General features: G+C 38.9%; 1 protein-coding gene, 1 long non-coding RNA gene and 1 pseudogene across 11 annotated transcripts in view; 1 reads left to right on the top strand and 2 right to left on the bottom strand.

The window, feature by feature from the left end:
• Window positions 1-15,023, top strand: part of LOC105375716 (uncharacterized) — a 436,284-nt gene that overhangs the window by 342,028 nt on the left and 79,233 nt on the right. For all 5 annotated transcript variants that reach the window (XR_007061067.1, XR_928569.3, XR_007061068.1 and 2 more), the window contains 2 exons: window positions 5,205-5,333; window positions 5,948-6,078. This is a non-coding gene — a long non-coding RNA (uncharacterized LOC105375716). The remainder of the gene's footprint in view (window positions 1-5,204; window positions 5,334-5,947; window positions 6,079-15,023) is intronic.
• The window catches only part of SLC30A8 (solute carrier family 30 member 8), a 226,498-nt gene continuing 213,453 nt past the window's right edge, over window positions 1,979-15,023 (bottom strand). For all 6 annotated transcript variants that reach the window (NM_001172811.2, NM_001172813.2, NM_001172815.3 and 3 more), the window contains 2 exons: window positions 7,525-7,659; window positions 1,979-6,157 (listed from right to left, as the gene is read on the bottom strand). In NM_001172811.2, the coding sequence (NP_001166282.1) occupies window positions 6,012-6,157; window positions 7,525-7,659 (281 nt within the window). In that variant the 3' untranslated portion in view covers window positions 1,979-6,011. The remainder of the gene's footprint in view (window positions 6,158-7,524; window positions 7,660-15,023) is intronic.
• On the bottom strand, window positions 14,438-14,725 carry RN7SL826P (RNA, 7SL, cytoplasmic 826, pseudogene; annotated as a pseudogene).

Below are 15,023 nucleotides of genomic sequence, written 5' to 3'. Positions count from 1 at the left end.
CATCTTTACATGCTTGTTTAATAACTCAACTTGCCTAATACCAAACTCCTAATCCTGCCCCATCTTATAGGCATCCTCCCCTCTAATCTTTCTTGGCTCTACTTCCGAGATCTATTCCAGCACTAGCAGTCCAAGCCTAACACCAACATTCACATCATTGCCCAATATTTACCATTGTACAATGCAGAAACTGACATCTCAGTAATGAGAGAAGGAAAGTAAAGTGAAATACCTACCAAGTTCTGGAATAAACAGGAAAATTTCATCAGGAAATGTAAATTATTCCATGATTTGACAACACATGAACAGTACCTTAATGAAATATATTTTTCAAGGGAGAAGCAATGCAGGTATGTTGACTTCCTAAAGTTGATGCCTACCGTATCAGTATTGAATTTTTCAGGACCCTTAGGGTTTAGCAATTCAGTAGTGTTTTAATCCCAAATATTAATAAAATATTCTGGACAAATACAAATGTATCTAAAGCAATATTGTACTCCCTGATGTTGTTTTGACTTGCAGTTGATTGATGAATACATTAATTGAATTAACAAAAGTCTCAGGGTATAGGATTTGAGGGTTTTTTTCCCCAAAATCTATATATTGTAATATCTCTAGTATTGTGCAAATGTTTATTCTCAGGCAAAAAGAATTCTGTCGTTGAAGGATAAGTGGTAAAGTCTACAGTGTTTAAGAGCTACGAAGATGAAGGGGGAAGAGTAGGAGGAGGAGGAGAAAGGAAAAGGAGGAGGATAAGAAAAAGAATAAAAATAATTGTGTATTCTCATCAGCTATGTTTGATCACAGTGCTTCCCTCATAACTTTATTATTAGAACATGAAAAATTACCTAATCTAAGATCCTGAAAGACCATCTCCACAGCTTTATCTTTATAAAGGATTGGAGATTGAATGGAAAGGGAACCTGCTTCTTGTTTATGAATTCAGAGCTTATTGAGCCAGGGAAATCTACTGTCCTTTCCCCATCCAAGTTGAAATAAGGTGCTGAACTTTATGAGTAGGTGGAAACCAGAAAAAAAAGCCTTCATCTTTCTGGGCCATTAATTATTCATAGAAAGTATTACTGTAAAGAAATGCCAGCACAGGGTATTCTTATTTTCCCGACCATGGACTTTTGCCATGTCAGAGGCAATTTTGGAGTGGAGAATAAGGCCATGACAGAAATTCTTGTTCATCAATCCCACATATATGCCCAATAAAATCCCCTATTCATCGCTATAAAAATGGAGGAGGAGTTAGAAACGAACCAGGGCATTAGTTCATTAAATCTCTACTGATTCCCATTTGAAGAATGCAGTTTAACTTCAAAGGAGACCCTAAATTTGCATCTGATCCTAATTCCATTATACAGGTTAACTCACCATGGTTTACAATATCTTCAGTACAGCTGGTGCCCTTTCTTCTTCTGCAGCACCCCAAAACACTCCTAAACTCTACAGATTCAGGGAAATAATGTTTGATAGTACTATTGGACTGTGTATAACAACCATAGGGTTTTAATGGCTGTAAATAGGATAATCGTGTTTTTAACAAATGGGTACCCCTTTGAAGAAAGGAAATATAGGGCAATTATAATGATACATTGTCTCCAGGACTTGATTGACACTTCTGAAAGGGGTGCAATTCAGCTTGACATCTCTCATCACTTCCTGGCTTTATGGTTGAAGAAGCACAAGTTCCTTTTTTACAACCGTCAAGGGCTCCTACCACCTCTGACCACCATCTTCTTCCTCCACTGGGGTTTTATGCCCATGACCAGAATGATTTCAAAAGCACCCCTGATTCTAACACATTATCTTCCATCTCTCTTAGACAAGTATGTTCCCCAAATGAGTTATATCTCTTCCAATAAATGACTGAGAGTGAAAGAGTGTATTCTCATTACAGTCCTCACTGGTGTCATGAAAAACATGTCCTGCCATGATTTTGGTGATAAAAAGATGATGACTTAACCCAAACTCTCTCTTTCTTGATTTTATTTTAAACAACACACATTAACATTTTAAAATAGAATTTAAACAGGTGCCCAGTAACAGAATGACAGACGTTAAGTGTGAAATCAGAAAGTTAAAAAACTAAACCGCAGATGGTCACCTTTTTATTTTTTTTAACATCCGCCTGCGCTGGACTGTTAAGTGGCCTCATCACTGTCAAGCCAGGCAGGATTTGTAAAGCTTGGGATGTGTGTATTCAGAGATGACATTTGCTTGGTGCCTTTAATGATTTCTGTAATTAGTCATTTAAACAGATTGCCCTGTGATCCAAAACAGGGAATACAGAGAGATGAGCTGAGAAAATCATTTCCTGGAGGCACTTTAGAGCTAATTGTGGAAAATGAGGCTTGTCTCTTTGCAAGACTCTCTGGATCATATTTCATTGGGTGGGGATGGAGCTGGAGAGCAACATTCTCCAGGAATCTATAAAATGTATATGCCTGGGAGGTGTTTTTCTTTTTGACACCACAGTGCTAAAAGACTTTGTTGGGTCACAAAATTTAACAGATATTAAGTAAGTGATCCAAATTTGCCACTGGCAATTTAGAAACCAGAGAAAGAAATGCACCCGGTCAGAGAAAGTTGAGGCTACATGACAGAGAAAAGCCAAGAACTTGATATTTCACAGGAATGGGGTAAGACTTGGGAGACCTATGACTTTGCCTTCATTGCACTGGACAGTTGTTCTTTTTATTAATAAATGTCCTTGGAGTGACAATTCTGCTCTTCAAAGATAAAAGCGGAAGCTTTCAGAGACAGTCAGAAAGGGATTCGACTATTTTAATTAATTCATCACTCTCACTAGGTAACAGCCTCTCAGTAAATGCCTTTATCCCAGCAAGCCTCCATTGCTTCCTCTGAGAAACAGCTGTTTAATTCTCACCAATAATTTTGCCACTGTCTTGTGGGAACGGTGTTGATAACTCAAAATTTCTCAAAAGTTGAGATGATTTAAAATTCTGTGCCCACTCATGTTTGTACATAATAAAAAACAACATTTAACATGTACTGAACACTACATGCTATGCACTGCTCCAACATTTTTAAGTGTCCTAATTTATTAAACTCTCACACATTTGAATAGGGAGGTTTCACTGATCAGGAAATAGAGGATCAGAGCATTTAAGTAACTAGCTCGAGGTCACAGAGCTAATAAAGGGAAGAGCTAAGATTCAAACTCAGACAATCTAGCTTCAGAACTGATGCTTAATGTGTAAACATCCTTTCTTTCATGTCCTTCAACATTCCCATTTCCCATCTGTAACCAAACATATGGAAGGCATAAATTTCTTTTATGGGTCCTAACATCACCACAGAGCCCTAGATAAATCTTAAGTAGGTGCTGGATGATGGTGAAGCATATTAAAAATGGAGGCTGGTGGTAAAGTTGACCTGATTTCACTACTCAGAAGAACAGAGTGTTGCTTTGAAAGACAGACATAAAAGAATGTAGATGACAGGTTGATGAGTGCAGCAAACCACCATGGCACATGTATACCTATGTAACAAACCTACATGTTCCGCACATGTACCCCAGAACTTAAAGTATAACAATAACAAAAAAAAGACATAAAAGATCATTAATGTTTTGATAGCTGGAGAGAATACAATGTCTTGAAGTAAAGAATTCAACTACATGATTCCACTAACTTCCAGTGACCTGGAGTTCTGACCACACCAGGGAAAGGGTAATGGGAGAGTCAGAACTTCAGAATTGATGGATGGTTCATAAAGCCCCTGAGTAGCATCTGTTTTTTCATCTCAAAATCCTTAAAATCTCCCTTGTAGATTGTCTTGCATTTTGCCATATAAACATCTACTGTTCAGAGTTTTCAATCTAGCTGACTAAAAAAGCAGAATTTCAGGGAAACAACAGAAATACCCTGGGGCCATGGGACAATTACTTTGGTTGACACACAAATCTCCCTCCATAATGATTACCTGACATTCAGTGAATTTCTGACTTAAAATCAAATCTAAACATGATTTTCAAAAAGAAGCAGAAGCAAAGAATTATACTAACACTTGTGTGTTTGCCAAGTCACCTAGTCTTTAGGGCGTCCTATGCAAAATATGGAAAAACAAAACCATTCAGTGGTCCTTCAGACAGGAAAAGTGATTTGGCATAAACCATTCTTTCCATTTTGAGAACCCGATGTGGCAGGAGACGTTGGGAACCTGAGCAGCTCTAATCCTGGTTGCCTAAACAAGCTCACTGAGGTGGGGGATGAGTATATTTGTCTCTACTGAGCAGGGAAAGCTCAGCAGAATGCTAAGTAGTTATTTCAGTGGTGCTGATTGATTTGCAGAGATGGCACAGATGTGACCTCCTCAGTCAAAGTCAATGTTTTCTTGGCCCTCAAATTTCAGAAAAAAATACAAATATAAATGATAAATAATGACAAGGCCCAGATATAGCCTCAGAGTCATTGCCTCAACAATTATTAATGCCTGCTAGGTTTCTAGTACCTTGCTAGAGTCTGACAACAACATAAAAATCATCTAAGACCTATCTCCTGTTCTCTACAATACTCATAACCATAAAGTTGCAAAAAGTATGTAGTTTTAAAAATCACAGCGTGGAGAGGTTTCTTTGCATCATGTATTTTGCTTTTTCAACTAAAAGCTAACAGACAAACATAAGTGTGCCTTGTGCCTAGTCTTCTTTTTGCCTAGAATGTCCTTCTCTTCTTCGTCTTCCTGGAGAGCCTCCATATGTAATTCAAAGTCCAGCAGAGCTGTCACCTCAATGACGTGAAACATCACTGGCCATGCCCATCCGGCAATATCCATCGCTTTCCTTTTATACCCCACTACATCATTGCAATTCATGATACTATTGTAGCTGCCAATGTATGTGTCTAGCTGTCCCACTCAATGAACTCCTGTGGTTGACAATCTTCTAGACTATGGCTCATCTTTAGAAGCATCTCTGGGTAACTTTTAAAAATGCAGAAGTCCAGGTTCCAAACCAAACCCATTGACATAGGATTTCCAGAATGTTGGCCTGCACATCTTCAGTTTACTCTCCACAGATAGTGTTGAGTTGCTACCAGAACACAGAAGCACTTGCTGCGTCTGATTCCTCTTTATAGTTTCAATGCTAAGCCCAATGTCTAGCACAAAGCAGTGCTCACATCATGCTCGTGGACTGAATGAATTGGTTGCATCTGCTTTATTCCTTCTTGCAGGTAAATATCTAAATTATCTGTGGCAACAACTTGGTGGGGTCAACTCGAATGTTTTTGTCGGCTGTTCTTGAAGACTTCTGGGTCTCTACAACCACATTCTTTGGCTGGTGCCAGTGTTTAAGCACTCTGGTAGGTGAAAATATTTCCTTTTGAACAGTGATTATATAAAGTTTTGAAATAAACAAGTTAGAATTTAGAAATAAGAGGGATTTATTGCCAAAATGTGACAAGTAAATAAAAATTAGTTGTAAGCACTTCTCTGTATATTCATACATATTTCCAATTCAGAGTAGAAAAAAAAATCACATTACAGCTTGGTGAGAGAACCAAGTTCTAATGTGGCGTTAGCATACAGAGTCACTTTTATTCCTGACTTGGCTCTCCTTATTTTTTGTTTCTAATGTTTTGGTAAAATTTTGTGACTATTTGTCCCTTCCACTGATTTCTAGTAAGACTTTCCTGAGTTCAAATTTACCTATGTGTTCTCAAGATGCATTATTGGAAGGGAGATGAATTTGGTATTGCCGATAGTTACAAACAGCTGTTACTTCGGCTCCACTCAGGAATAATCTATATACACATTCCTGCAATTGAACACAGCTACTGATCAGTATATAATCCAATTGATTGATGGATCTCAGTGCCTCTTCCTTCATGGTGAATGGAACTAAATAAATAGATAAAATGTGCATTGCACCATGACATGAATTTCTTCCTTTGGTTCCTTATTTTCTATGATGCAGAAACTGCATAGCAGCATGTTTGAAGGTGGCCTGTCAAATTTGGGAAACTGACGGTGTGACTGAGCTAGTCACAGGGGTCTTCACAGAAAAGGCAGTCGGGGTCCTGGTCAACTGGAGATTCCATCTGAATGGTGAGTGAGTGCATCGTAAAGCTTTTGCTAAGGGCTTTAGCAATTTCTCTCCGAACCACTTGGCTGTCCCGGCTGGCTGCTGTTGATAAAGAAGCACAGGGAGATTAGCACTGATTGCACACGCATGGGCGACTGCTCTGACTCCAACTTCAAGTACTTTGTCTTTGACCTGCTGGGGTGGGGCAGAGGCAGGGCACTCAGAGGAAGCCACGTTTGCTCTGATAATCAGCTACATTCACACAGACAAGGCAGGGGAAACTCTAGTGCAGCAAAGTGCCCTGTCGCTATGGGAACTCTTTCTGTCCACTGTTATCTCTGGAGTCTGGCATTCCTAGGAGCTTACTATGGAAGGGGAGACAAGCCCTGGAAAAAGCCAAGACAGAACTATTATTTCTTATACAGCCCTGCTCACCAGCTCCCAGGGATCTCTGGGTTGCAGGCTTTGTATGTAATCAGAATTTATATCAAGGATAGTGACAGGAACCAGGAAGCGTTTAGAGCTCCCCACAGACCTTTCTTAGAGCAGCAACCCTCACTGCCATTTTTTTCCTGTCCCAAATGCTATCAGCAGGCTGTAAAGTCTCCTCCATAGCAACCTGAGTGTTTACTAGATTCTTCCATTTGCAGTGAAATATTGGCATAGTGAATGCTGTAAATTCCCTCAAGTCAGACCTAAGCCCCTTCGAGAAGATGACGATGTCTGAGAAAGCACAGTTTTCAAATGACTGTCACTAGTGTTCCTGTCCCCTGCCCCTAAGTAACTCCTTGAGTCATTTTTTAGCAGCCTAATGTGTTATCCTTGGCCTGAGCTTTCTCTTGAGGCAGTAAATGCCCTCCCACTGCCTATCCTCCCAGCTCTAGGACATATCAGAGACAAAATTAACTTCTTGAAAAAGTAATTTTAGTATAAACCTAGTATTATAAGAATTTTCTCACATGGCTACAGAATTTCTAATCATACAGTGTGGGACCCCACCATAATTCCTATTAGCACATCCATTAGCTTGTTAGAAATTTAAGAGTGGGGCTGGTGTCTCTTTCATCTTCCTATTTTCAGTGCCAGGAAAAACATCTTATACATAGGAGATACTCAATTAAGATTAAGTTTTTAATTCATTCCTATTATTTGACTGATAGGGCACCAAGCCAAACAGATGAAGTTGAATATTCAGAGTCCAAGGCCTTGAAGTGGCGGGTGCATTTTAGTCCTTTGTTCTGTCTGTCCTCAGCCCTCTGCAGTCAGCCCCAAGAATGTCGTGGGTATCATTGTTGCTATGACAACATCAATAAGTGGGCTGGTTTCAAAGGCCCTTGGTAATAGAAAACACTTTATAATGTTTTGACAAGCAACAGACAATAAGGGCAGCTCTACAAAAAGAAGGGAAATTACTGACTTTACAGGACAAGGACTGAATTTTTTCCAGGGTGTTTACAAAACTCACTGACCTGTAGCAACATGAGCTGAGAGAATTACTTGATTCATTGTTAGAGACCAGATGTGCAGGCTGTGCACAGACAGCACCCCGTCGACTGCTAAAATAAGCTCTTTCACACCACTGTAATTCAGGCTCTTTGGCACACCTGACAAAAGGGAAGAGATGGAGGCTGTAGTTATTCAACTAGATACAGCTCATTGAATTACCTAAACAAGCTGCAAAGTCCTCACCAAAATTTCAATGTGTTCATCCCTTTGCTGGTTTCTTACTTCAAATGTTTACAAATAAGATTTACCTGACTACTTCAAGGTTTACCATCAATCAAAATTTCCCACTCAGAATACTTGCAGAATTTACTATGCAATAACCAACAATGGTAATTATCCTTAGTTTTTATGGTATACTATTAAACTAACTGTGCCTTTTCCAACTATCTTTATATACACTCTGGAAAGTAAAATGAAATAACATGAAATTTGGTATCAAATAATCATGGGTTAGCATCCTGACGACAACTATTGTGAATTTACCCAAATCCCAGAACTTCTCTGACCCTCAGCACATTTGTAGTAAAATAAGGGTGTTAAGAACAACACATAGATCACAGAGATCTTTGAGGAGCAATTCAGAAAATATCTAATCATTATGAACAGCAATGTTGTACAAAGATTAGTTACTCAACAGGTCATTTAGTGAACTGTGCTAATAGAGGATCCTAACATTGTATAATACCATCTTATTCGGTTTGTAAGTTTTCTATTATTTTAGCTACATTGGAGGATGCTGTAGAAGAGATGTCTAAGTACAGCCCTTTTTTAGCCTCTACTTCAGTTATGTACAAACAACACAAACACCTGGGGTGTTTATTAAAAATAAATGTACCACGACTCCATTCCAGACCTAAAAGGAAATTTCTATGGATGAAGCTCCAAAATCTAGAGTCTTTCAGAGTGGTTTTCAACCTTGGATGCACATTAGTATTACCAGAGGAGATTTTAGAAATCCTGATGACTAAGTTACACCCAAGACCAATTAAATCAGAATCTCTGTGGATAAGGCCCAACATCAATGCTCATTTGGTGATTCTATCAGGCAGCCAAGATTGAGAACCACTGCACCAACATTCATGAGCCACTGAGCAGCTCTGCTTTGCAGTGGTTCTCTAGTCTGACTACATGTTTTTAAAAATACCAAAGCCAGCCCCAACCCCAGACAATTAAATCAGAATCTCTGGGTGATATAGTTTGCATATTTATCCTTGCCAGTGTCTCATGTTGAATTGTAATCCCTAATGCTGGAAATGGGGCCTGGTGGGAGGTGTTTGGGTCATGGTGCCAGATCCCTCATGGCTTGGTGCTGTCTTTGCGATGATGAGTGAGTTCTTGCAAGATTTGGTCATTTAAAAGTGTGTAGCACCTCCCTTGCCCTTGCTCCATTCCCATCATGTGACGTGCCTTCTCCCCCTTTGCCTTTTGCCGCTATTGGAAGCTTCTTGAGGCCTCCCCAGAAGCAAATGCCACCATGCTTCCTGTACAGCCTGCAGAACCATGAGCCAATTAACCTTATTTTCTTTATAAATTATCCAGTCTCAGGTATTTCTTTATAGCAATGTGAGAACAGCCTAATAACACTGGGTATGGGAGGCCTGAGCATAAGCATTGTTTAAAAGCTTCCCAGAGGATTATAATGAACAGCTAGAACTGAGAAACATCTACTTAAAGAAATGGGGAACCCTTAACCCTCCTTTTGAAAAATTTAACCCATTTATGCCTGGGGTTGCAATTTTTTGAATTTTTGCAATCAGACCTTGGCAATGACCTTGAGCAGGATATAAATAACTCTCACATGCTTAGCATTCCAATAATGGAACACTCGGCAAAAAATGGGCTAAGAACCTTGCTCATGGGGGATTTCCTCCTTGGAGTTAACTCAAAATTCCCTACAGCATGAGCTGAGTTTTTGATCCTACCTCATATTGTTTGGGGAAGTAACAAAGAGCTGGTTATCATGCTATTTTACTCTATGAGTGGCAAAAGACCTAGGCTCCTAGAAGCAGATGAAAGGAGTTCTTGTCTCAAATTAGCCATACAATGTGAATAAAGTCATGGGTAAAATTGTCATAATAATAATAACAAACTTTTATTGAGGGCCCACTATGTGTAAAGTTTGTGCAAAGTACTTTATATATAGCAATTATCTCATTTAATAGTCCTAAAAACTTTAGAAGCTAGTTATTAAGGTTACAATTCTTATTTAACTAGAGAAGAGGAAATTGAGGTCAGTTAGATTAAGGAACATTGCTAAGGCCACACAGAGAAGTGGCAGAACCAGGGATATCAGATCCCAATGTCTGTGCTCTGAGTATAAAGTGTTACGCAAATACTAGAGTCTAGGAATTGCAATCAAAACACTGTCTGTTATGCCTAATGTGTGTCATCTCTTTGGGGAAGTTCTGTTGACCATTTGAAGACTTGCTATCATTCATCTAGGCCCTTTGAAATTAAGTCATGATCCCACTACCCTTTTTTCACTTGTCTCCTTCATCTCATTACTATTATAGAGAACATAGGTCCACCATGACTTATTTTATTATAACAAATAGTGTTGCCAGGCAAGAGGCATGGCCCCACTGGACTCAATGCTCCATCACATCCTAGAACTTTCTTTTACTTGGGGGGGAGTCTGAAAAAATATTAATGCATCCAGGAAAATATCTAAATTAGTGTTTAATAAATAACTTCCCAGACTTATAAATGTATTTGAAAAACCACTGATCATTCATAATTAAATAATTGCATTTGAAATCAATAAGATATAATATTTCACCTATTAGAGTAGAAAAGAATGAACAGTTAGTTTGATAATACTCAGTGGTTGTGATGATGTGAGGAAAGGGGCACTTTCATATGCTGTTGAGGGGAAAGAAATTGATACTGTATCTTTGGTAGAAATGGTAATATCTATCAAATTTTGAAATGCATGTGATATAGTTTGGCTGTGTCCCCACCCAAATCTCACCCAAATCTCACTTTTAATTGTAATGATCCCCACGTGTCAAGGGTGGGGGCCAGGTGAAGATAATTGAATCATGGGGGCAGTTCCCCCATACCGTTCTCCTGGTAGTGAATAAGTCTCACAGATCTGATGGTTTTACAAATGGGAGTTCTCCTGAAAAAGCTCTCTTGCCTGCTGCTATGTAAGGAGTGACTTTGCTCCTCCTTTGCCTTCTGCCATGATTGTGAGGCCTCCTCAGCCATGTGAAACGGTGAGTCCATTAAACCTCTTGTTCTTTATAATTACCCAGTCTCAGGTATGTCTTTATGAGCAGTGAAAAAACATACTAATAAAGCATGTAAGTTTTGAAACAGCAATATCACTTCTAGGAATTATTCCACAGATATACAAGTGCTAAAAATATATATGTACAAGGGTGGTAATTACATCATTGTTTATAGTAATTACATCATTGTTTATAATGTCAATCACAAGCAAGTACTTCCATGCTGTGGAGTAATTACAGCTGTGAAGAAGAATGGGGTATATCTATGTATGTGCTAATATAAAAGATCTCCAAATGAAAAATGCCAGGTGCAGAGAAAAAATGTGAATCAATATGTAATCCCATTTTTATAAAAAAAGGTACACACTTACATCACATACACATATACATATACATGTATGTATGTATATATATATATGCAAATGCACAAATATCTTTGGAAAGATAAATGTCAACTTATTAACAGGTATTATCCCTGAAGAATAGGACTGAGAAGTCAAAGACGGAATTATAAGGAGACTTTTTAAAATTATTTCATACTTTTCTGTATTATTTTTAAATTTTACTAAGTACTATACTAACATAGTTTGAAAACCTAATTTAAAAATTAAGTGTCTTCCAGAAAGGAGTTATCTGCCAGTTTCTATAACTAGCTGACGTAGTCCAGTCTCTGCACTTTTCCTGAAGTAAAATAAGAAAGATAATCACCAGGGAAGAGCTATAGCGAGACACACAAAGAAAAGCGGAATATAAGTCATTTCAAATTGTACACCAACTTGTCTTTTATCTTTCTTTAAGTCAATAACTTCCATAATAGCAACAACAGCTGCAGCTCAGCATTCGGCACTCAGGAAAGAAAATGGATGCTTCTGTGGCTTGACAAACCAAATATTCTCATGTTTAGAGACAGAAAATTCACTATTACTCTGTGACATTTGACTCCGTTATCCATTTCACTGTTGTCAACACTATTATCTTTCAACAATTATAGTGACCACCAAGAACAAACCTTTAAATGTATACTTAGCAGTGAACACTAACGAAGTGTGAGCTGTCACTGAAGGCAACTGCACTCTGAGACCAGATCTACCTTATGTCAAAATGTGCTGGACAAAAAAAAAAAAAAAAAAAATCAGCTAATGTCTGGATATTTCAATCATCTGGATGTTTGATATGATGCAAACTTCTAGCTCTCACTGAATTTTACAGGTGCCATTCCCAGGGCCAGCATGTGGGAATCCCTTCAGTGGTACTAAAAGATTAGTCCAGTGGTTCCTGAAGTGTTGTCCTGGGACCAGCAGCACCAGCATCTTGTTAGAAATTCAAATTCTTGCTCCTCCTACTCCCCAATAAGATATACTGACTCAAGAATTGTGGGAGTGGGCTCAGATATCTGTGTTTCAATAAACCCTCCACGTGATTCTGATGCCACTAAAGTTTGAGAACTGCTGGGTTAGTCTAATAAGGGTTTTAGGCAAGTCCTTCATAATACCTGTTTTCCTGGAATGTAAGATAGAAAATAATATCATTTGTTAACGACAAATGGCCAATGTAGCAATGATAAATCACCTTGTAAATATAATCAAGTACCTCAGGTCTCCAATAAACCTTATTTTTAAATTTTAAACAGTTTTAAATTGACATGATAATTGTACATATGTATGGGACATGCAGTGCTGTTGCCATACAGATAATTCATAGTGATCAGATGAGGGTAACTGACAAATTCATCATCTCATACATTTATTATTTCGTTGTATTGGGAATGTTCAATATCTTCCTTCTAGCTATTTGGAACTATATATTATTGTTAACTATATTCTTGTCATTCTGTAGTGCTATAGAACACTAGAGCTTATTCCTGCTATCTCATTGTAATTTTGCATCCTTTAACAACTCTCTCCCTATCCTACTCTTCCCCTTCCCTCCCTCTGCTATCTGTTCTACTTTTCACTTCTATGAGAACAATTTGTTTTTAGCTCCCACATATGAGCCAAAACATGTGGTGTTTAACTTTCATTTCCTGGCTGATTTTACTTAGCATAATGTCCTCCAGTTCCATCCATGTTTCTGCAAATAACAGGATTTCATTCTTTTTCATAGCTGAATAGTATTCCATTGTGTATATACACTGCATTTTCTTGATCCATTCATCTATTGTTGGACACCTAGGTTGCACTCCCACACTTTCCCTTTGATGCTCCAGTCAAATCTCCTCTGGTTATTTATTGCCTTGGCCCTTTCTTACCGGGGGGACTAGCCCCAGCATCTCTAGTCAGCCATCTTGCTGATGTCACTCTCTGACATACTTTAATATTCCAAGATAATGTCAATGGGAGTCAGTAGTTCTCCCATTTCAAGTACTACTGAATGGTTCTTCTAGTAATGAAGATGGATTTATTCTGATCAAGACTCTCTTATCTGGCCTTTCTGAGGCCATCAGCATCTATGATTGACTGGTTCTATGGCCACAGTTTATAACCAAAAATTGAGAATATCTTGCTGTGCAGATAAATATACAGTACAGTGTTTATCTCCACAATGTAGCTTCATATTTCCTATATTCCAGTCAACCCAAAATGCTAGCTGAGAGTTTATATTTACTGAGCTCCTACTGTGTTCTAGACATAATGCCATTTATTTCATCTAATCCTCTCAACAACACTATATTGTGGATGTGATATTCCCATTTTTGAGTTGAGAAACTGAAGTTCAGAGGAGATTGTCTGAGGTCTCACAGCTAGAAACTTGCATGACTAGCATTTGAACAGAGGTGGGTCTGATACAAAGATCTTGCTTTTTCAACTATATGATGTGTCTCTTTGCGCTAACTCTGCCAGTAAAGATGTAGCCTAGAAAGGGCAGAAACCAGTAGTTCTTCAACCATTTTATGCCAAATGAAAAGAAAATCACCAAACTGCAGAATGGGGGAGAGGAGGCAGGCAGTAAGCTTTAGGCATAAGGACGGATTTCTTTGCAGTGAGGGTTATTTATGTGATCTATTCCTGGACAGTTGGAAGACTCAAAGAGCCCAGAGAGAAATTTCACAGGCCCAGGAGAGTAGTCAAGGATAATGGGGCTGTAGATGATGAGGTTAATAACATAAGATCCTACTCGGGGCTAAGAGCAGGCCTTAGCAAAGCCTCTGGGACCACTGGCCCCTGCTCCCAGCCGTGTTAAGATCTCTAATAAGAGGCCCACACCTCTTCTTTGTAGCAGTTCCCACTACTGCATTTCTGTGTAATTTTTTGAATAATCTCTTTCTCCTCTTATTAAAGTATTATCCCCATGAGGACAAAGCTTTTTTTATTTATTTTATTTTGTTGAGGTAGGGTCTTACTCTGTCACCCAGGCTGCAGTACAGTTGTGCCATCTCGGCTCACTGCAGCCTCTGCCTCCCAGCCTCAAGCGATCCTCCCATCTCAGTCTCCTGACTAGCTGGGACTACAGGCATGCACCACAATGCCCAGGTAATATTTTGCATTTTTTTGTTGAGACGAGGTTTTGCCATGTTGCCCAGGTTGGTCTTAAACTCCCGGACTCAAGCAATCCTCCCACCTCAGCCTCCCAACCTGTAATTCCTGGAATTATAGGCATTAGCCACTGTGCCCAGCCCATATTTTATTTTACTATACTTTATTTTAAGAGACAGGGTCTCACTATGTTGCCCAGGCTGTAGGGCAGTGGCTATTCACAGGCACAATCCTACTACTGATCAGCATGAGAGCTTTGATCTGCTCTGTTTCTCATCTGTGCCAGTTCACCCTTCCTTAGGCAACCTAGTGGCACCCTGTTCCCAGGAGGCCGTACTGATGTTGACCTTAGTGCAGACACCTGAACCTCATAGCACACTACAGCCCAGAACTTCAGAAGAGAGCTGTGTTCTGCTCTGCTCATATCTGTAATTCTAGTTCTGAGCACACTACCTAGCACAGAGTTGGGGCTCAATAAACACTTGCCGGACAAACAAATAAAAGGTCACCCTTGTTTTATTCTACTCTGAGATACAATTTGATAAAAATGTTTAGCTCTAATGCAGCCTGGGGGGTAAACTTATGTAGTTTTTTTTCTTAGGTCTTTTCCAGGTATATTTATATTTTTGTAGTATCTCCGCATGGTGTTTATACTTACTGTTTTTACACTGTGAGCTATTACATAACAGTTGCTAGAGCAAGAATAGAAGCCAGTTCTTTTTACTTGTTCCCATAGGAAAAAAAATCAAATGATTG

This window comes from Homo sapiens, chromosome 8 (genome assembly GCF_000001405.40).
Source record: "Homo sapiens chromosome 8, GRCh38.p14 Primary Assembly".
NCBI classification, from domain to species: Eukaryota; Metazoa; Chordata; class Mammalia; order Primates; family Hominidae; genus Homo; species Homo sapiens.
This window is presented reverse-complemented; position numbering and strand designations above follow the sequence as displayed.